The sequence below is a fragment of the Homo sapiens genome, chromosome 5 (assembly GCF_000001405.40).
Source record: "Homo sapiens chromosome 5, GRCh38.p14 Primary Assembly".
In the NCBI taxonomy this organism is placed as follows: Eukaryota; Metazoa; Chordata; class Mammalia; order Primates; family Hominidae; genus Homo; species Homo sapiens.
Genome location: NC_000005.10, coordinates 50,696,743 through 50,719,217, shown reverse-complemented (window position 1 = coordinate 50,719,217; position 22,475 = coordinate 50,696,743). Strand labels below are relative to the sequence as shown.

Here is a 22,475-nt window from a genome sequence, read left to right as displayed (position 1 = left end):
AGGGATTAATATCCAGAATATATAAGGAGCTTAAACAACTCAATAAAGAAAGTCAAATAATCCAATTTAAAAATGGGTAAAAGGTCTGAATAGACATTTCTGAAAAGACAACATACAAATGGCCAAAAGGTATGTGAAAAAATGCTCAACATCCTTAATAATCAGAGAAATGCAACCCAAAACTACAATGAGTTACCATCTCACCCCACTTAAAATGGCTTCTATTGAAAAGACAGGCAATAATTAATGCTGGTGAGCATGCAGAGAAAGCGGACCCCTGGTACATTGTTGGTGGGAATTAGTACAGCCACTATGGAAGAGTACAGACGTTCCTCAGAAAACTAAAAATACAAATACCATATGATCCAGCAATTCCATTGCTGTGTATATACTCAAAAGAAAGAACACCAGTATGTCAAAAAGCTATCTGCACTCCCATGCTTACTGATGCACTATTAGCAATAGCCAAGATATGGAAGTAACCTAAGTGTCCATCAATAGATAAATGCATAAAGAAAATGTGGTACAGATACACAATGGGAAACTATTCAGCCATAAAATAGAAGGAAATCATGTCATTTGCAATAACATGGATGGAACTGGAGGACATTATGCTATGTAAAATAAGCCAGTCACAGAAAGGCAAAGACTACATATTCTCACTCATATGTCGGAGCTGAAAAAAAACTGAACCAAATTACTGTTGGCACATCTTCAGGGAGAAAAATTACATATATAATTGTATATATATACATACACACACGTATACACACACACATACACACACATATGTGTACATATGCTTTCTCCATGGTTTTAAAAGCAGTTTCTATTTAGTCAATAAGACATTTACAATTTTTATCAAGAAGTCATTATGCAAGATTGCTTCTTAGAAAGAAGTTATAAGGTTAATTTACCTGTATTGTTTAATAATTTTACACTAAAATTGTTTTATCAAAGCTCTTACCTAATGTCAAACTCCCAGAATATGAATTTTCAACTGGTCACAACTGTGTAATTCCTTGATGATTATATTCTCACCTCTTCAACTTCACTTGTGAAATTTTTAAAAATTCCCCTTATTTCTTAGATCATTTCCATTAGCTTCCAAACATACTGTAGTATAATCAGCACTCCAGTATAATCTATTTTCTGATATAACCTAGTATAATTTTTCCAAGCTACCAACCTATTTCTCTGTTCTACTTCCTACGAACGTTTCTTGAAAGAGTCCCCATACTCACTACTTCCATTTTTTTAGTTTCCATTTTCCTTTTAAACCAATCAAACTGGGCTTCTGCTTGTTAGTATAATCAACAACCTCCATGATCCTAAATCCATCAGTCACTTCTCTCTCCCTGTCACAGCTGAACTCTCAGTAGCAATGAGTAGTTAATGATTATGCAAAATTGCTTCATGAAGAGAAGGAAGTCATGAGGTCAACTTACCTCATGTGCAAAGATTCATTGTTTTATCAAAACACTTTTGTTGGCTTCTATGACACCATGATCTCTCAGTTTCTATGCCTATGGTCCTTCCTTAGTTTCAACTGCAGAACCCATCTTCTTGCTTAGCCTCTAAATTATGGGAATATTCCAGGGTTCAGTCCTGGAACCTTTTTCTCTGCTTGCACAGATATTGTATCATCTACTCTTGGGCTTTAAATGTCGTCTCTATTGCAATGAAACCCAAATCTACCTTCCCTATATACTAACCTCACACTTGAACTCCAGACTAGAAATCTAACTTCTGATTTGACCTGCTGATTCCCCACTCCTGAAATCTGTTCTTCCCATACTTCTCTATCTTTAGCATCTACATACTTGCTCAGGCCAAAAACATTATTCTCATGATTGATTCCTTTCTTTCCTTTGCCCCCTATATCTGTCCATTCCATCGTAAGTCTCATAGACACTACTTTCTGGGGCTGCAGCTTTGCATTTCCCCTTTTTTTAACCCCAACTCAAGCCACCATCATTTTTCCCCTGGACTCCTCTAATAGCCTCCCCCAAGACTGTTAACTTCGTTTTTCCAAATAATTCATTGCATGCAGAGAATACAGCCTTCTATTTACAAATTATATAATTCAGTATATATTTACAAATTATGTAACTTTCCTACAGTAAATCTTCCAATGGCTTCCTTCATAGTTAGAATAAAATCCAAATTATTTAATATGCTCTACAGATTCTTTCCCCTGCCTACCTTGCCTTGTTCATTGCTGTAAACACAGTATTGCAAACACACTGAACAGTGGCTGATACATGATCAGTGTGCAATTAGTATTTGTTAAATGAATTTATGGATGGAATACATATAAAACACATACTAAACTTACAGTATGTTTATTCAAACACAGCTTACATTCACTAGCAGGAAGAAACTAAATATTTTAGCACTCTTTTAATCTGAGACTCTTAATGTTATGTAGGCATTAGCTCATTTAATCATCAAACCCTTTGATGAGCAGATTAAAGATAATATTCACTGTATTGACACAGGTATTAAACCATGTTAAAGAAATTTCCTACCACAGGCCACTGTTTTGGACTAAGCTCCTGCACTAAGCCCAAAGACCAGACAAAACTAAAATGGAGTCATTCATGCTAGGTGTCACATAAGCTGAATTTTAAAATGGGCCAATTTTCAAAATAAAATAGGAGATTCCAACAGAAAAGGGCCTAGTCTACCTGAGCCAGCATGATAAAGAAATCCCCTCTGTTTTTACCCTGTAGGGAAAGTAACTTTGAAACAATTAATCTACTTTTTGTTCTTAATTCAGTCCTTTTCTGCCTATAAAGCCAGCTCCCTCTGCTCAGCTCAGCAGAGCACCTTCCTACTTCACAGAGGAGAAGCCGCCCAATCCATGAATCACTAATAAAAGCCAATTAGATCATTAAACTCAATTTGTTGGAACTTTGTTCTCTGATAATCAGAACTACCCTATATCGTATAATTATTATCTCACTTGTAAAACTCTATGCCACATCATAGTCATCTTCCTTTGTAATTTAACTTCCTTTGTATTCTAATGTAAGGAATAACCAGCCTCTTCCCTTCTCCATAGAAGGTTCCAAGTTAACTATTCTCAGCCTCTATGTGGAAACATGGGGATATAACATGATCATTTGAATCACAGCAAGTTTTTGGAAAGAATTACTCATTTCGATAAAGCACAGTAAATTTTGGATTCTTGCTACAACATCAATTTTATTCATTCATATGTACTTTTGTCCAAGTGGGAGTTAAAGAGGAATGGAATTACACTGAGAAAGCTGGGAACTGAACACTTCAAATAAGGATCCAATATAGTGCTTATCTTTACCCATTATGTATGAAGAAGGTAGTATTTTTTTAAAAAAGGTTATATTATTCTTGAGACTGAAAAGAAGGAGACAGAAGCTCTGGACATAACTGTTTGTAAAAAATCTAATAGTTTCAACTGCCAATTTCATACAAGCATAGAAATTTGCTAACATAAGTTAAAAAGTAAACATACTATGTATTATAATTTAAACACTAAAGTTTTTTATATTCTCTCAATATTTACCTGTTCCCCTTGTTACTACTGTCTGTGGTGTAGAGGTCTGAAAAATAATTGTTTAAAAACACAAATTTTAAAATTTTGATTAATCATGTTATCTGTTACTTATTAAGTGACCAATTTTGGTCATCTTTATTTGCAGTAATCACAAGCTTTTATACTAGATCCTCATGAATACCATGACACTCTGACACACACCACAACCCCCCACAAAAAGTATACACTACAATTTCCCTTCTCTCCTCAAATATGAGGAAGGAGCTCATGAAAGTATAAATAAATTCCTAGAACGGTTATAAAAATATAGGTGAATTCATAGGAACTTATCCAAAATATGAAACATATCCATCACACATATTTTGACAGAGTGTGGAGGAGCATTTTGCCTCCTGCCTACTGTTCTACTGTATGGAAAGGTTACTAAAGAGCGATAACTGTGGGTGCTTTCATAAAGACCATGTGAGACGCTTTTGCACTGCGGTCATGTTGGGTGAATTTACGTTACTGTTTGCAGCAGTCTTTTGAGAGTGCTGAAGTGAGAGGAGGCACTGCCATGGGTCAAAAATTGATATGCTGCTTGAGTTGGGAATAGTTAGCTGGCCACTGATGACTGTTTCCTGATGAACTCTTACTAAAATTACAGAAAATGAAAGGAAAAAAAAGCATAAATTCACAAAGACAGCAAGAATGAAAGAGGAATCCATGGAAGACAGATTTCTACCACTTTTAGAAAAAGACAAGGGGCTAGAAAAATGTGAAGTGATCTAACAGTGTGGAAAAGCTAGTGGTGGGCTTCTTACAGGAATGACAGCTAAGGATAACAGAAGCAGTGGCTGCCTTAAAGACCCTGGAAAAGCCCCAGTCTTGTACACACAGTCAGCTGCAGGAGGGAGGCTAAAATCAGGGGCTGCTTGGAAGGCTGCACATAGAGTTGGAAAGCCCTGGTTCCTTCTCTGTGTGACTGCTTCCATCATAAAGCCTATCAGTCCACAGCCCTGTGGGCACCCCACAGCTTCCAATAATCTTGGCAATAACTTAATCCCCCAGAACACATTCCTTCCTTTGTGACATGGAAATAATGCCTATTTGTATTTGTTTTCTATTGATACTGTGCAAAATCAGTGGCTACCTAATGCATGCGGGGCTTAAAACCTAGATGACGGGTTGATAGGCGCAGCAAACCACCATGGCACATGTATACCTATGTAACAAACCTGCATGTTCAGCACATGTATCCCAGAACTTAAAGTAAAATAAAACAGAAAATTAAATAAATAAATGGTTTAAAAAATAGAAAAGAAAAACTGTAATTCTGTTCTAAGAGGATTATGGAAAGATAGTGATAGAATTTCAATGTCTTATTTCCTATCCCTTCTTCCTAGCTTGAATTTATTTGTCTATGTTGAGCCAAGCAGCAATCGGTGTTGGTGAGCTGTTGTGTGTAAGGTATTGAGTTCCAAAAAGTCTTGACAGAGAAGAAAATGTGGGGCTCTTCCCAACATGGGTTAGGCATTCTTCTGAAAACCAGACTCAGATACCCTCAAAATAAACTTTGTGCTTGATGAATTCTGGGGAAAAAAAAAAAAAAAGAAAGAAAGAAAAGAAAAGAAAAATCATCAGTGGCTTAAAATGCCACAAATGTATCATCTTACAGATCTGGTAGGTCAGAATTCCAATTAAATGGGTTCAACCAGACCAGAATCAAGATGTCAGGGGGGCCACATTCCTGCCAGGAGCTCCAGGAGAAAATCCATTTCCTTTCATTTCCAGGTTCTAGAATCTGCCCACATTCCTTGCCTCATGGTTCCTTCCATCTTGCTAGGCTGCAGCAGAGCATCTTCAGATCTCTGACTCTATCCCTCTGCTTCCTTCATCCCATCTCCTTCTCTGACTCGCCTGCCTCTTCTAAGGATCCATGTGATGACACTGGGCTCAACATAATTATCAAGGTAATCCCCCCATCTCAAAATCTTAATTTAATCATATTGGTAAATTCCTTTTGGCCATATAAGGTAATATGTTCACAAGTTCCAGGATTAGGATGTGGATATCTTGGTGGCCATTATTCTGTCTACCACATTATATTATCAGATTAATGAAAAAATTAAATGAGATTATCCAAATAATAATAATAGCTGGGTGTGATGGTTCACGCCTGTAATCCCAGCACTATGGGAGGCACAGGGGAGCAAATCACATGAGCCCAGAAGTTCAAGGTCAGCCTGGGCAACAAGGCAAAACCCCATCTCTACAAAAAATACCAAAATTAGCCAGGCATAGTGGCACATGCCTGTAGTCCTAACTACTTGGAGGGCTGAGGTGGGAGAACTGCTTGAGCCCAGGAGGCCAAGGTTGTGGTGAACCAAGATCACACCACTGCACTCCAGCCTGGGCAATAGAGTGAGACCCTGTCTCAAAATAATAATAATAATAATAATATCTAAAGTTTATTGAGCACTCAATATGAATAAGCACTCTTGTAAGTCCTTTGGATAATTAACTTATTGAAACATCACCACAGATCTATAACATATAGATGACTCTCACAGCCATTTTATAAATGGGGAAAATAAAGCACAATTAATATACCTAAACCTAATAACACAGCAAATATCTGACATGAGTGGTTTTGAAAGTCAAGCCATCTGGCACTTATACTCACTCTTTTAATTGCCACAGAAACACTGAATAAATTTTAGTTGTTATTATTACATCTCTGTATTGAGTTTATTATAATACTTTACCTCATGCCACTAACATAAATAAAAAAAAAATCTCCTAAACACAATAAAATCAAGCCTAATGTTAGCAACAAAACTTAAAAAAAAAAAAACCTTGTTCCTCCTTCTTTCCTGTTTTAAACAGTCCTTATACCAAAATATCTTTCTTCTCCTTCTGACCACCAGATCCATATTTGTTTCTTTCTCACCCTGCATGCTCCCGTGGCTCCCTGCACTTATCTTGTCACTTATGACATTATACTATAATGTTTGCTGCTTTATCTCATCCCTGCTCTGTGAATGCCTTCAGGACAGGGACTCTTCTATATTCAGGGTGGCCTGCAGAGCCTGGTCCTCAGTGCTTACTGAATGAGTAAATGAGGAAATCATGAACTACAATAATTTAAAAATCTGGTCAACTGTTTTGCCAAGAATCTTTGCAACTTTTACTATTTTGTACATTTCTTATAATAAAATGTTGTCTGATATTAACACAAAAACAATATGAAGTTGAATAGATTCTAAAAAGCTCCTGTTAGTTTCTGCCATCAACGGTACAATAATTGAAGCATGAAAAACATGACCAATTCATTTTGTTGTATTATAGGTGCTCCACAAAACTGTACATATTTATTGTAGGGAAACAGAAGATTTCCCAGAAGTTGGGTTTTTTAAAGTATAAAATGCCAAATATCTATTTCTAAATATATAATCCTGGGAGGAGCCTACAAAATGGTAACCAACAGCCAAAGGTCAGCATATGCTGTTCTTATTATTTTGGACATAACATAATTTAGTTTCTGCCATTTCACTTTGTGATCTATTTCAAATCACTCTGAATAAAGTGAAGATTAATAAAACTTACTACTCTTAAAATTGATAAAGAATAAACTTATATTGCACCATAAATATCTGTCAGAAGTGGAAGAAGTAATGAGGTCCTTCAGGATGCAGATAAATCAACTTTGCAGAAAAATCATTTAGATTTTTGTTTCTCAGAAGGTTTATTATTATCACAGTAATGCTAGATAAATAGCCTGGCCTATGATTTACTCTACTCGCTTAAAAGAGAAAAGAGAAGTTAACAGCTGTTAATAATCACTATGGAAAACAGAAATAAAAGGTAAAGCAGTGATGTGTCTCAGCAATAATGCTTTTGGCTGCAACTGTCAAAAACCTATACTGAATTGACTTTAAACATAAGGACCTTGATTTTCTCATATAAGTGCAGAAATGTATGTTGGATTATGGGCAGGAGGGTTGGGGTTTAGGGCGGGGTGAGGAGGTCTATTATTAATTCAGCGGCTCAACCAAGGACTCATTCCCAAAGACTCAAATTCTGCCCATTTTGTCTTTCTGTTTCTCACAGTATAGCAGCAGTTTCAAACTACATCTGGGCTAACTTCCCGTGTGGCCCACATGACAGGTGCTGCAGTCCCAATATCACATCCAGAAATGAAAATGAAAGTCAGCCCCAGAAGCCACAGAGCAAACTCCTCACATTTCAGAGGCCAGAGAGAAGTTCCTAGACAGCCCTGAATCAATCAGTTAGGGGAGGAGGGAGAAGGCAGGCCAGAGGGACAAGTCACATGACTGAATTAAACTAATAGGCTTTTATTCCTGAGCTGGAGAGAGGGCCATGCATTTTCACTAAGGTATGATTTCTTGAACAACACTGGTGTTCCCTTTGCATGGAAAAAGGTAGTAATGAATGGCTGATAGACAATAATATTTAAAACAGCAAGACTATCAGAAGACTTAGCTCTACAATTGGCCTAATTCCCAAGCTCTAAGGAGGTAAAACGAGAGAGGAAAGTTTCATAATAACATAATTGTGTTTATCAGAGGAGGAATCAAGATGCTATTTTACAGACGACCAGTAGCAACAAACAATTCACCACAAGGTAGTTAAACACACTAATATATGCTGAGGCTAGGAAAGCATTCAAATATACACATTTGATTGTATGCACAGGCACATATGTATATGTGTTTATGTACAGATAGAGACATAGATATGGATAAATGATTGACAGATAGTTATAAAGCTACAGATAGAAACAGATACACTGTGGCTAGGTAATAAGTCATCAAAAGTAGAACCTGTTAGATATAAAAATTTTCAATCACATATGTAGGTTGCAGACACAGAAACAAAAATTGTGTTCTTTTTCAAAAGTCTACACCAGAGTTACACTGCTAAATCTGTTATATTTAAATATTGATACTTTGAAAAGGGAGAATGAAGTCCAAGACAATTCACACAACAAAAGAGCATCCACACAAAAACAAGCTGATCCTTATTTCTCTCTAAAAGGTTCCTACCAGACCAGAAATGAGAATTAGCAGGACCCAGTAAGATCTAAGTACCATCAGACCATCAGGTGTTGAACCCATTCTAATCTCTGATTCTTCTAAATAAAAAAGGTTTATTTAATTTAGAAAAAAAACTTTTTTAAAAAAGGTTTCCTTCTAAATAAAAAAAGATATAAATAAGAAGCATGAAGCATGTGACTACTTCTTTACTACTATTGCTGATAAAGTTCTAAGGCAAAAGCAACCACTGCCTCAAAACTCACCTCAAAATATAGATAAAAGTCAGTGGGAGATGGATTCTAAGAAAAGATCCATGAAAGTACAAAAACAATCAATTTATATTTCAGATTAAACCAGACATGCAACTGGATCTCCCTATGATAACAGCAGCAAAAATGTGCACTAAGTAATGAACTAATGGAAGGTGCTTGTTTCAACACCTTTAAATAACTGAGAAAATACATCAGGAGCACAAAGATGTAATAAAATGAAAGCACAATAATTAGCCCCAGAAAAAAATTATTAATATGAATTGTCTCTGTCCAAAATCTAAACAGTTTCTCCTTATTAAAGGGTCATTAAGCATATTTCACAAACATCTCAAACATACATATATATGTGTGTATATATGTGTGTGTGTATATATGTATATATATGTGTGTGTGTGTATATATGTATGTGTATATATATATATATATATATATATATATATATACACTCTTTCTACCTCATATTCTCATAGTCTCTCCCCCCCAACACAAACACACACACACACACACACACACACACACACTCTTGTACAAACAGTCCATCCATCCATCTCTGACTCTTTGTCTATTTATCTCTCTTTTGGTTCCTTGGTCTTTTTCTTTTCTCCTTTTTATATTTTTGCAACAGTACCAGGGCTTAATAACACTGGCATTTTTTTGTGGAACGAGCAAATTTAATCTCTGGATGAGTCAGAGTGAAGACACTGTAAGCCTGTGGCTACTGCACTCAAGAATTTTACTGATTATCTCCTACCATGGTGCTTACATTATTATTAAAATATGTTTCCCACTACCTTACTCTTAAATGTGAATAGACAGTTGAAAGATCAGTAGACATTTGAGAAAAGCCTACAACATGAATATGAAAGACAAGAAGAAATAAAAAAAAATGACACTTGGAGGAAACAGAAGCAGTGAAAGGAACAGAAGAAACTTAAATGTACTTAAAAGAAATATAGATAACCAGAATATACTTGGCACATGAAACAAGAACAAAATGCTCTGAAAAGCATTTTCAAAAGAAAAAGAAAAAAATGAAAGAATTTAAAAAGAGCCTTTGGAAATTTAAAATATGTCAAAACTTAAAAATGCAACAAAATGGTTGGAACATAAAAATGAAGAAATCTTGAAAAAGCAGAATAAAGAGATGAAGAGGTGGGAAATATGAAAGTAAATATAAGAAACTGAGTATCACTACAGGAATTTCAATGGTAGACCCCAAAAAAGGAGTAGAAGGAGGTAAGAGAATATTATCAAAGATATAAATACAAGAAAATGTCCTGGCCTGGCACGGTGGCTAATACTGGTAATCTTAGCACTTTGGGAGGCTGAGGTGGGAAGATTGCTTGAGGCCAGGAGTTCAAGACCAGCCTGGACAACATATTGAGACCCCTGTCTCTACAAAATAACAAATAAAAAATCAGCCAGGCATGGTGGCAAGTGCCTGTAGTCCTGGCTACTTGGGAGGCTGAAGCAGGAGAATTGCTTGAGCCCAGGAGTTTGAAGCTGCAGTGAGCTATGATTATGCCACTGCACTCCAGCCTGGTTGACGGGTAAGACACTGTCTCTAAAAAATAATAACAATAATTGAAAAAAAAAAATTCCTAAGACAGGAGTCTCCACAGTGAAGGGCTTTGCAGTAAACACCAAGCCTGATAGGTATTTTTTATAAGTTGACATCAAGCCATATCAATGTGAAATTTCAGAACTTCAGGGATGAAAAAGAGATTTGATAAACTTCAAAGATATACAAAGGTAAGTTACATATAAAGAAATTAGAAAAGCACTAGATTAACCAGCAACACTGCACAGTAGTAGGATATTGAGCAATCTTCAAAATTATAAGGGACAATGAGTTCTAACACAGAATTCCATACCTTCTCAATCTATTAATTAAAATGAGGGTAAAATAAAGGTATTTTAGACATGCAGAGATTAAAAAAAAGAAAAATGACCTTCGATACAACTTTTCTTTACAAAGAATAAAGTTTTCTTTACAAAGAGTGCTATGTTTCAGTAAAACAAGAAGAATATGGCATCCAGAAAAGAGAATATGACACATGACAACAGATGTGCATCATACTCTCAGAGAATATGGTTCAGACTCAAGAAAAAAGGAGAGCTCTGGGAAGGTCTCTAGGGTGGAGGAGAAGGCAAAACTAATTCATTATTGATAATTTATTTGATGTGTTAGACTATTTAGGAAAATTATTGAGAACCATGACTAATGTTCTTAAATTATTAGGGAAAAAACAATAATGGACACACAGCAAAATACAAGCTAATGGGAAAAATGATAAGCAATTTTTAACTATAGGAAAAATAAAAAGTAGAAGAAAAAATATATACTTATGGTGTAACAGTACAGTCATTGTAATATGCTGATTAGTGATGCAACCAAAAATTCTGAAGTGGCTATGGTGCGAGATCGTGTGGTAAGGAAATGTAAGAAAGATAAATACTCAATAATATAACAGGCATTCAATAGAAACTGTCTAAAACTTATGTCAATAAAGTGCAACTCACGCATATTGTTCTAAAATACGTTAAATAAGGTTGATATAAGACTCTTAGTACTGTTTGGTTTTGTAATCAAATATGTGCTTACTTGAAGAAATACATAAATTTTTGCCTAACTCCCCAAAGAAAACAAGAGGAGATCAGGCAACTGCATGCCAATAAAAGCAGGATAATACTGGCATTTTCTCTCTCTCTCTCTCTCTCTCTCTCTCTCTCTCTCTGTCTCCCCTATCTATCTCTATCTCTCTATCTCATATCTCCTTGGAATATCTTCCAAAGGGTAAATCTTCAAATCATTCAATTAATTACATTCAGATTTTAAAAGGTTAGCTTTAATGACTTAAGAATTTTAATCAAACCTTCACAATTTGCCACTGTTTTTGAGAAAAAGATTATGAATTCTAGGTAGCTGTCAAGTCTACTTAATTGTTACTGTGAAATGAGTACAAAAAATAAAAAATCTAAATTTAAAGCTCTACAGAATACAAAAGCACTTTAGGAAAATCATTAAATGTTTTAATTTCTATGTATCAAAGACAGTTTCTTTCCTGCAGGAGTTGAACCTTGGGAGATAAACTACTGACTGATTATATCTTTATGTTAATTGAATGACGAATTATATACTGTATCTAAAGAATTGTGCTTACATTATATATAAACAACAATTTACACTGATGCATGTCTGACAAGCGTCTGATTTATTAAATCAGTAAATGTTCTTATGTGTACAAAAAAGGTTTTATATCAGTTTACAAAGAACATATTGATTTAGTGAGCTACATAAATATATGCAAATCTAACACTTAAGACTATCCAATAAAAAAGCAGCTATATAGATTTTTGTGTAAATTGTGAAACTCTTGAGTAATGATTTCCATAAGCAAGATATATGCGTGCTAGTATATGAAAATTACAGAAATCAATCACTGTATGCTAGCATCATAATGCACTATTAGAATCTGAATTAGGTAATGCTAATCAGTTAACCAAGTTTTACTTAAGTAAAAGCACTCTGGTAAAAGGTATCTGTTTTCAAAAAATGAACATACTTGGTGCTATTCTCTTTCTTCTTATTATTACTTCAAATTATTGTGGATACTGTCCCAAGCTCTGCGGTATTTGTACATGTGAGTGTGTGCTTATGTGTACTATAACATATTGTTATTCCTATTCAGAAACTGGAAAGACTACATAACTACTCAATTACAGGTATAATATGCTGAGAAAATAGTCTTAAATGCAAAAACAAAAAATAAAATAAATAACTACCCAAAATGATGAAGATCTTGAACTCAAATCCAAACTTTTGAGCTCTTAAAATCTTAATCACTAAAATTACTGTTAAGTAGGCTTGTTTCTGATATTAACAATCCTAAGAAGTTTACCATCAAAAGGCTCCAGCTATGGTCAAATGGGACAGGAAGAGAATTAAATAATTTTTCAGGCTAGAAAAATTGATACCAGACATGAAAACTTCTACATCCCAAAAACCAGCCATCTGAAAAACATAAAGGTTTCCTAAAATTTACTCAGAAAAAAATATTTAAAACTCAATAAAATATATGTAAAAGCATATGAAACGTCACAGAAATAAAATTCCAAACTTTCAATAAACTGAAAAAAACCCAAACTCACTAATAATCAGTAGGTACAAATTAAAATAACAATGGGATATGATTTAACATATAACACTGATACCAATTTTAAAATATAACATCAGTTATTGGCAAGAATGGGGGAAACAGTACCTTTCTACCTCGAGTAGAATTTGATAGAACCAATTTAGAAAGCAATTGTTAAGCAGGAGCATATCTTAATCCAACTAGTCCATTTTAAAACCTACCCTCAAGAGAGTCTAGCACAAGTACACAAGGAGATACAAAGATTCTCACTGAAGGACTGTGCATGATAAATGGGTGAAAACCTTCTAACTGACCCTCCATATGGAGAATGGATACATAAAAGTATCAATGAAATGCAGGCAAATGGCAACAAATCAAATAGTATAAGTAGTTTATGATGAAAGTCAAGTCCTAGCCCAGACCCATCAACCCCCCTTTTTTTTTTGGGAAACAGAGTCTTGTGTCACCTAGGCTGGAGTGCAGTGGCTTGATCAGGCTCACTGCAACCTTTGCCTCCTGGTTCAAGAGACTCTCATGCCTCAGCCTCCCGAGTAGCTGGGATTACAGGCGCACGCCATCACGCCCAGCTAATTTTTGTATCTTTAGTAAAGATGGGGTTTCACCATATTGGCCAGGCTGGTCTCAAACTCCTAGTCTCAAGTGATTCACATGCCTTGGCCTCCCAAAGTGGGATTACAGGTGTGAGCCACCGCACTGGCCCCATCAATTCCTTTTAAATTTATTTAGTTTTAGCTCCTCTCCGGTTTTCTCCATATCATTTATATCTTCTTATTTTACCACCTTCACATTGTTTATATATAATATAGACACTATTATTTTTAATCTTTCAACTGTTTTGCACCTTGGTGACTTGAAATAATATACTTCTATCCCTATTTCTTTGCCCACCAATTTTTGTCAGCAACCTGGCTCACCTCTTTTCTTCATAGCAGAGCCAGATATTACAGAAAATAGTTTCTAGATGTTTGACCAAAAAGCATTAACATGTTCTTTTTATCTTTTACTCCTAAAATCACATATTCTCTTGAGCCATGCTGCCTAAGACAGAGCAACTGTTTTAAACAGTAAACTATTTTTGAAAGTAATAAAGGTACTTACTTTTAAAATTTCAATCTATATTGAGCAGATAATCTGGATGGCAATGAAGACACTGCTTTGTCCAGTTTGAAATTTGCCCATTTGTAAATGTCATATTTGTCCCACATGCAATATTAAAGCTTTCACTTGCTTTACAAGGAAGTAAATCATTGATCATGAAGTAGTTCTAAATTTACACATTACACTGCTCTAGAGTAATCTTGCAACTCTTCAAATAGATCAACGAATCCAGGCTTCCAAAACCATTTTGAACATTCCATATGCATTCCTATTTTAAAGCAGTACTGTCCAAAAGAAATATATTGCAAGCTACGTTGGCAATTTTAAATCGTCACATTAAAAAGGTAAAGAGTAGATGAAATCAGTTTTAATAATATACCTTATTTAGTCCCATACAGCCAAAACACTATCATTCCAATATACAATCAATATGACAATGTTCATGAGATATGTTACATTCTTTTTATTACACTAAGTCTTTCAAATCCAGTGTGTACTTTAACACTTACAGCACGTCTCAATCCAGTCACATTTTAAGTGCTCGAAAGCCACTTTTGGCTAGTGGCTACCATTTGGGGGAGGGTAGAGTAAAGAAATCACTTTCAGAAATAAAATGTTAAAATTATCACTGCAAGTGTTTAGAGGTGAGCATATAAGGAGTGAAGATTCAAATAAGGTAAGTGAGCACGTGCTCACTTAGGTAATTATATCTTGGTCAGAGCAGTTTTTCAAAGACGGCAGAAAAATCAACAACATTTTCTGATTATGTCCTGACAGAAGATAGTTAAGTGGCCTTTTTTGACTGTCAGATTGGTGACCAGGATCTACATATACCAAGGAAAATTGTGAGGATATCTATACACAAGAGCTAGCCACAAGAAGTAATAAATATCACATCTCTCGGGACTTAGATGTGCCTCAAGTTTCAAAGGGTAAAGGAAGCTAAACTCTCCAGCTTAAGGCAGATTTGGCAACCTCTCTGCTAGTGCACAAGCTGGACAATTTCTTACTGCAAAAAAAAGACTGAATGTGAATTAAGAAAACAAGTTAAACAAATGTTAAATACATGTCAAAAGATTAGCAACAATAAAATAGATCATAATAAGTAATCAATTGAATTTTATATCTTGCTGTATATAGCAGGTGCTTTCTCCTACAAATCATGTTTAAATATGGAAAATTCATGTTGGAAGAATGAAATTTAAAAAAAAAAAAGGGTCTCATTTTATCATGCAGGCTAGAGTGCAGTGATCACTGCAGCCTCGACCTCCTGGGATCAAACAATCCTCCCACCTCAGCCTCCAGAGTAGCTCGGACCACAGGTGCACAACACCACACCTGGCTAACTTTTAAATTTTTTGTAGGGATAGGGTCTCCCTGCATTGCCCAGGTTGGAAAACGAATGTATAGAGTTAGACCATTATACAACTGAAGAGCCTGGAAAGTGGGTTTTATTAAAACAGTAGAGAACACATGGCAAATTCACTGAGATCAGGGGATTTCACAGCTTTGTTCTCCCAAGCGAGAATAGAGGCTGAAATACATCAGGCCCTCAATAAGTATGTGTGGAATGATGAATAAGCTGTGGCAGTAATAATAATCATGAATCCTTCAAGGAAGAAATCAAACCCCCCTAAGGAGACCTCCAAGAAATGATCTCATTGAGCAGGACAGTTCAAATATCATCTCTCATATCCATACAGAATAAATGATGAAGACAAATTATTTCTTAATCAGAAATAGCATTTCCCAGTGATTATGATATCATCATGTTAATCTGCCTTTACAAGACTTTTTTTTTTTTTTTTGAGACACGGTCTCACTCCGTCACCCAGGCTGGAGTGCAGTGGTGTGATCATGGCTCATTTAGCCTCAATTTCTTGGGCTCAAGCGATCTCCCCACCTCCGCCTCCCAAGTAGCTGGGACTTAAGGTGCAGGCTGCCACACCCCTCTATTGTTTGTGTTTTCTGTAGAGATTAGGTTTCACCATGTTGCCCAAGCTGGTCTTGAGCTCTTGGGCTCAAGTGATGCTGCCGCCTCAGCCTCCCAAAGTGCTGGGATTACAGGCACGAGCCACATCACCTGGCCTATAACACTTTTTATCTTCTGTAATTATCTGGTTTGTTTGTACAACTCTCTGTCTGCTGGTCTCACTTAGATGCCAAGCTCCATGAGGACAGGGTTCCAGGCAGCCCTGTCACCACTACAGCCATGTGCCCAGCACAGAGGAAGCACTTAAGGAACGATAGGAGAATTAAAGACAGATATTTTCCTCACCACTTCCTCTTCTGTGTAACGGACGTGTTTACCTAATGGTTGTTTTTGCACTAAGTACTATGTGATACCTCAATTAGCTCTACAGGAGAATTAAAGAATGCTGACACTACACTAATTAAAAACACAATTTCTAATATATTTGTTAAAGTAAGTAGAAAATGAATCTAAGTGGAGGGAAAGAGCAGTGTTACAGCAATGGAATTACAGATTTTATACATTTTCTAGTAGTGCTAAGACTAAGATGTCAAAAGCAAGAGCCTCATCTTCTAAGTTTTGAGTGAATCAGGGCATTTTGACTTAGAATGAATTTCAAATACTTTTTAGAAAATAAAAACGCCCTAGAAAATCACATATCAAAATGAGAAGCCCTGAAAATCATCATTTCAGACTACTTTCAACTCTCCAGGCAGGTGTGAGATTAAAGGTGATAGTTTCTAGAGGTCACCTATAAAACAGAAACATATTTATCCCATCAAAGGATTTTTCTACTGTTATGCTTTATCAGGGATCACAGATCAAGTTATTTATTGTCACATGATAAGTAAATTACTGCAATTATGTGATCAACTGTGATGTAATACTTATCTTTTTTAAAAAAAACTTAATTTATTGTCCTTTCTTAGTGTAATTAAAAAAGATTTAATTGATGTTAAATGTTATTTTTTAAAAGTTAAGAGATGTTCCTTTTATTTCTAAAGAAAAAGCAAACGAATACTTACATAAATAGTACAAGTAAATAGGAATACATTTTCATCAGTTTTTAAATTACATTTCTGCAGGAAAACTTCATGTCATTTTATTAAGAAGGTCAGTTGTCAAAACCAGAAAAATGTAATAGTTTATCTTTCCAAGCTAAAATGATTATAACTCCCCAATTACGGCCATTATTTTTGTGAGTCAGAACTATAAGAACTAGGTCAAATTCTTGAAGTTTTAAAACAAAATTATGATACAAAAGGATCTTAGGTTCTAAATAAGAAACGAAGAATTTCTAAATGCTTGTATATAACCATGTTACTGACCAACAACAACAAAAAACTCAGCAGGTACCCTATCTGAAGCCCCTTGAGTGAAGCAAGATTTTTGTAGGATGTAGCTATATCTACGCAGAAAAGCAAATAGTTTATTTTGGATATATTAATCAACACATTATTTAAATGGCCTTTCCAAACTAACTTTATCTCTTTAACAACCTCATGAATTTTCCAGATTTTAAAAGAACCAATCTTATTAGTCAAAGTCACTTCTAAAATAGTTATTCAAACTGTAAATGGAGTTACATAATTAGAAATCCATATATATTGCATGCCACTTATGAAAACTATGCAAAGGGGAGCAAATAAATAATTATAAAGAGAATTCAGATAAAAAGCATTTTCTTTTTGTTTGAAGAATTAAAAACTTTATCCCCAGATAACCAAATTCACTATGCCAAAGCATAACTTTATTTTACTGATGTACCATGATCCGTATCCCACACATCCAATCAACACCAATTTCTGATAATTTTGCAGTAAATGTTTCTTCAATCCATCCACTTATACATATCCTTATAGCCACTACCAGAACAGTCTCCTATTATTAACAATAACTATATGAAACCCGTTCCATTTTATCATTCTTTTAAGAAAAAGAAATGAGTGGAGAGGGAGTCAACAACGTAGGCTGTCAAATCTTTAATCTGTGTTCATTAAGGACTCCAAGATTAAAAATCTGTAAAGTCAATTCACATCTGGAAACCATATTTAAGATTAGAAGAGGGTACTCAAACAATGTAAGATTTGAATATACATTCTAATAGAAGAAATTCTCCATGGAATTTCCATTGTCTCCCAGATAAAGAAATTCAGAAAACTCCAATAGCATCAAGAAGTGTTTTACTGGGTACTCAGATGGATCTGGAGTGCTGCTTGGAGGATTATCTATTAACTACTTCAAGTATGACGGTGAGGATTACCGAGCATAATGATTATCCTGAGAGAAGGCTTTTGCCAGATTAAAAAAAGACATGGAAGTTTATGAAAGAGTAGCTGAGTTAGCATTACTACATTAACATTGTATTCGCAGGAAGAAAAACGTAATTTTGAGTAATTATGCCCCAACACAAATATTCAGTTATTAAATATAAGCAATAGTCAAGAGACTGCAAACAGTTAAGAGAAAACCAATCCAATTCTTACCAATTTAAATACTTGCCTTAAAGCATTGTTTAGTAAATTTAGATCACAGTATGTTTATTTCCTTGTAGTTGCTCAAATTAAGTCTCCAATTTCACTGCATTACAGATTTATTCCACAGAGCACACTTGTGTTTTCATTATATTGATAATATAGATGGCTGTAAATAATTTGGGTGACCCACAATAGTGGGATCAAACAAAAATTTACGATTAGAAACCACAGGCTACTCAAGGAAAGAAGTTTTTATCTTTAAACTTATTATCTTGTCTCCCAACTGTGAATGAAGTTATCTACAGAATAATCAATAGTTAGATGAAACTTGGCTTTTGCTACAGAGAAGCTTTATCCTCTCAGAGAATTTCAAAGAGGAAAACCATTTAAAGGTAAGTTCACTTTTCAGCATAGTAGCAACAGATAAAAAATACTACCTTTTCACCCCTAAACCAGTGCAATTACTTTTTCCAGAAGCTGATTCTGGCACTTCTGGGCCTTGGTATAAAGGAAAGAGGACAAGTAATGATTTAAGACTTAAATCCCACTATTTTCTTGAACAAGTGAACCATCAAAGACTAATGTTTCTCACCAGAATGCCTAATATTTGGACTTTTAAAAATGGATGACTATTTAGTCTAGTTTACTTCACTAATTTTAAATGAAGACAGGTTCCATGAGTCATGCTATCTATCCTTTTTGCAAGTTAATGGAACTTTTACTCATCCAGTGGGTGATGATGTTATCCTGTCAACAATGTGTCAGGCAGAGTAGAAACCAACAGGCCTCAGCTGAACCGAGACCTCTTATGTCCTAGCAACTTGATACTGATACTCAAAATATGGTCCATAGTCCCGCAGCATCAGCTCACTTTTAGGAGCTTATTAAAAATATGTCCATCCCATCTTGGCCCATCTCAGATCTTTCAATAGATCTGAATCTGCATTTCAACAGAGGCCCATATAATCACATTCAAGCCTAAGATTTATTCCATAGAGCACACTTGTGTTTCAATATATTGATAATATAGATGGCTGTAAATAATTTGGGTGACCCACAATAACCTCTTAAGGAATGCATGTGGGAGGAGCCTCAAGTCAGTGATAATATGGTAATGAAGATGGCTGAGTAAACCTGTTTCCCCTGATGTCACCACCTCTTTACACTAATCTGCTCAAGCCAACAGGGAAACTGAGGTAGCTAGGAAACAAAAACATATGAAAGTGTTACGTACAAATACTTTGAAAATGGTAAAATCTTAAATAACTTCTGGTATTGCAATTATTTCTGAAGATTCCAACACTGTCAAGATCCATGTCCTTTAGGGAACGGACTTACGTAGCAAGGGAGAAATCCAAAGAGTCAATGAACCCAGTGCTCCTTTCCATACTCCAGTGCTGGAGGCCCTTCTCAATTTTCCATTCACTTGGGCAGTCATTTAACACACACTTACTCAAAGCTATCTATATAAGGCCATGTTATAGTAAAGGTACAGTCGGTGGAGAGTGAGAGAGACAGGACCCCACTTAAATGGAACTGAAGTCATCATGACTGTAGGACAGGTTTTAACCTTTTCCAAGTGGACAATCAAAACCCAATGACACCACTGTGTCCTCATTTCCTGAACAAAGGGATGTGGAAAATTATCTTTTCACTATAGTTCGGAGGAGGCAAGGTTGGAATTTTTTTCAAAATAAACTTTTCTTTTTTGTAAAACAAGGTAAAATCCTGCTCTAACTCTTCCCTAGGGGAAGGGAAACAGGTCTTGAATACATTTATTTGGTACATTTTTAGCTAACTAATTCAAAGTTAAAGATCATTTTGGCTGGCATAGTTTATTAAACATCTACTCTTCTAATCCTTTTCTTTCCTTTCCCTGAACACTTTCAAGGAACTCCTGGTCCCATGGCTTCCTTTTGAGATTTTTCTGGTTCACTTTTAGTTTTTCCAGTGGGTTCTCAATCCATTAAGAGAAGGGATAAAGGTACTATCTCATCAGGATAAAAGACTGATTATTCTTTCATTGGGTAGTGGTCCTTGGCTTTTCTCCTGCTCTCCACTGTGCTTTGGGGGGAAAAAATTGTATCATCCTATTTCCACTGAGATTCTGCTGCATTTAAAACTCTCGGTATAAGTTATGGCTTTATATAAAGCACAGGGTCATTTTATCACAGTAATAAGAAGTAAGAAGATAATAAGGAATAAGAAGGGGATATGAAGAACCTGCTGGGAGAGAAATTCATTCCTAAGTATTTCAATTATAATATTCATAAATGTTCTAGGATTCTCAGGTAGCCCTGAAAACAATAAGGAATGCTTTAGATTAACATGAACACTTCAAGTACAAAGGTCATGTTGAATTCATCATCTGCCAGAGTGGCAGACACATAAATCAATTAGAAAATATTATACATGTTTTGTTCTCTGAGGTTTTCTTATCTAAACCTCCAATTTAATTGTGAAGCCCAAACTCATTCATTTATTAACTCGTGTATTCGACTGAGAAATATTCCATGAGCACCCATCTACATCCATGACACCAAAAGTCTTCATGAAGGTCATATCTTCCATAGTCATATCTAAATGTGTAAAACTGCAGTTGCAATGGTATGAGAAAACTCCAATAAGATTTAACCTAATCACAAGGAGAGAGAGAGACAGAAGGCTTTTCTTCCTGACACTGAAGATGTAACCTGAAGAATACAAAGGAGATGAAAAAGGAAGTGGTGCCACTGGACCAGCACAGTGGTTATTTTCATTATTAGTAAAGTTGACTAAAGTAACAAGAGTATATATGCCATATGCTGAAACACATTATTGAAGACAAATGAGAATATTACTTAAAAGATATAGCTTTGAATATCCTCCGTCTATTACTATCAACATTTTGGGAGGCTGAGGTAGGAGGACTTCTTAAGGCCATGAGTTCAAGGCCAGCCTGGACAACAAAGCAAGACCCTGCCGCTACAAAACATTTAAAAATGAGCCAGGCATGATGGCATGTGCCTACACTCCCAGCTACTCAGGAGGCTAAGGCAGGAGGATTGCTTAAGCCCAGGAGTTCAAGTCTGCAGTGAGCCATGATCGTGCCACTGCACTCCTGCCTGGATGACAGAGCAAGATCTTGTCTGAAAATAATTTTAAGGAAAAGAAAAGATAACGATAAATATAATTTGGATTCTTTCTGAAATTGATAAGCCTTTTAATTTATTAACATACTGATTTAAGTACTGATTTTCTTCTTTAAAATCCTGCTGCACAGGATTTGAAATATGAGATAGGATTTTCAGATAAGATTCTGGGATTCTATTCATTCAATAACTTTCCAAACACCTGAGAATTTTTTATTCCGAAGGATATGAACTTGTTTTCAGACTCATTCTTTTTTTTTGTTTGTTTTCTTTGAGACGGAGTCTCGCTCTGTCGCCAGATTGGAGTGCTGTGGCACAATCTCGGCTCACTGCAACCTCCAACTCCCTGGTTCAAGCGATTCTCCTGCCTCAGCCTCCTGAGTAGCTGGGATTATAGGCATGCCTGGCTAATTTTTGTATCTGAATAGAGAAGGAGTTTCACTATGTTGGCCAGGATGGTCTCCATCTCCTGACCTCATGATCCACCCGCCTCAGCCTCCCAAAGTGCTGGGATTACAGGCATGAGCCACCCCGCCCGGCACAGACTCATTCTTCTTAATGTCCTAGCTGAGTGGCAGCTGTTGTTGGGTCTCACTACCATAAAGGAGAAAAAGAACACCCAAGGCAAGAACAGTTAAGTCCAATGTTACAGAGGAAGGTTAAGTCCTGAGGGGCTGACGGCAGCTACATTTGCAAAAGAAGAAATTCCAAAAGCTACAGTCAATTAAGAAAGAAGCAACAGATTAGGGGGCAAGCAGATAAAGAAGTACAAATAGAGAAATAGA

At 35.7% G+C, this 22,475-nt stretch overlaps 1 protein-coding gene across 14 annotated transcripts in view, besides 1 other annotated feature; it reads right to left on the bottom strand.

The window, feature by feature from the left end:
- PARP8 (poly(ADP-ribose) polymerase family member 8) overlaps positions 1 to 22,475 on the bottom strand; it is a 180,589-nt gene that overhangs the window by 127,302 nt on the left and 30,812 nt on the right. The gene's annotated exons all lie outside the window — the stretch shown is intronic.
- Positions 7,640 to 7,989: an enhancer, noted in NCBI's record as "active region_22543". NCBI's record gives its function as "activates an Ori minimal core promoter by ATAC-STARR-seq in GM12878 lymphoblastoid cells {active_cell/tissue: GM12878}" and the evidence as "EXISTENCE:reporter gene assay evidence [ECO:0000049][PMID:35858748]".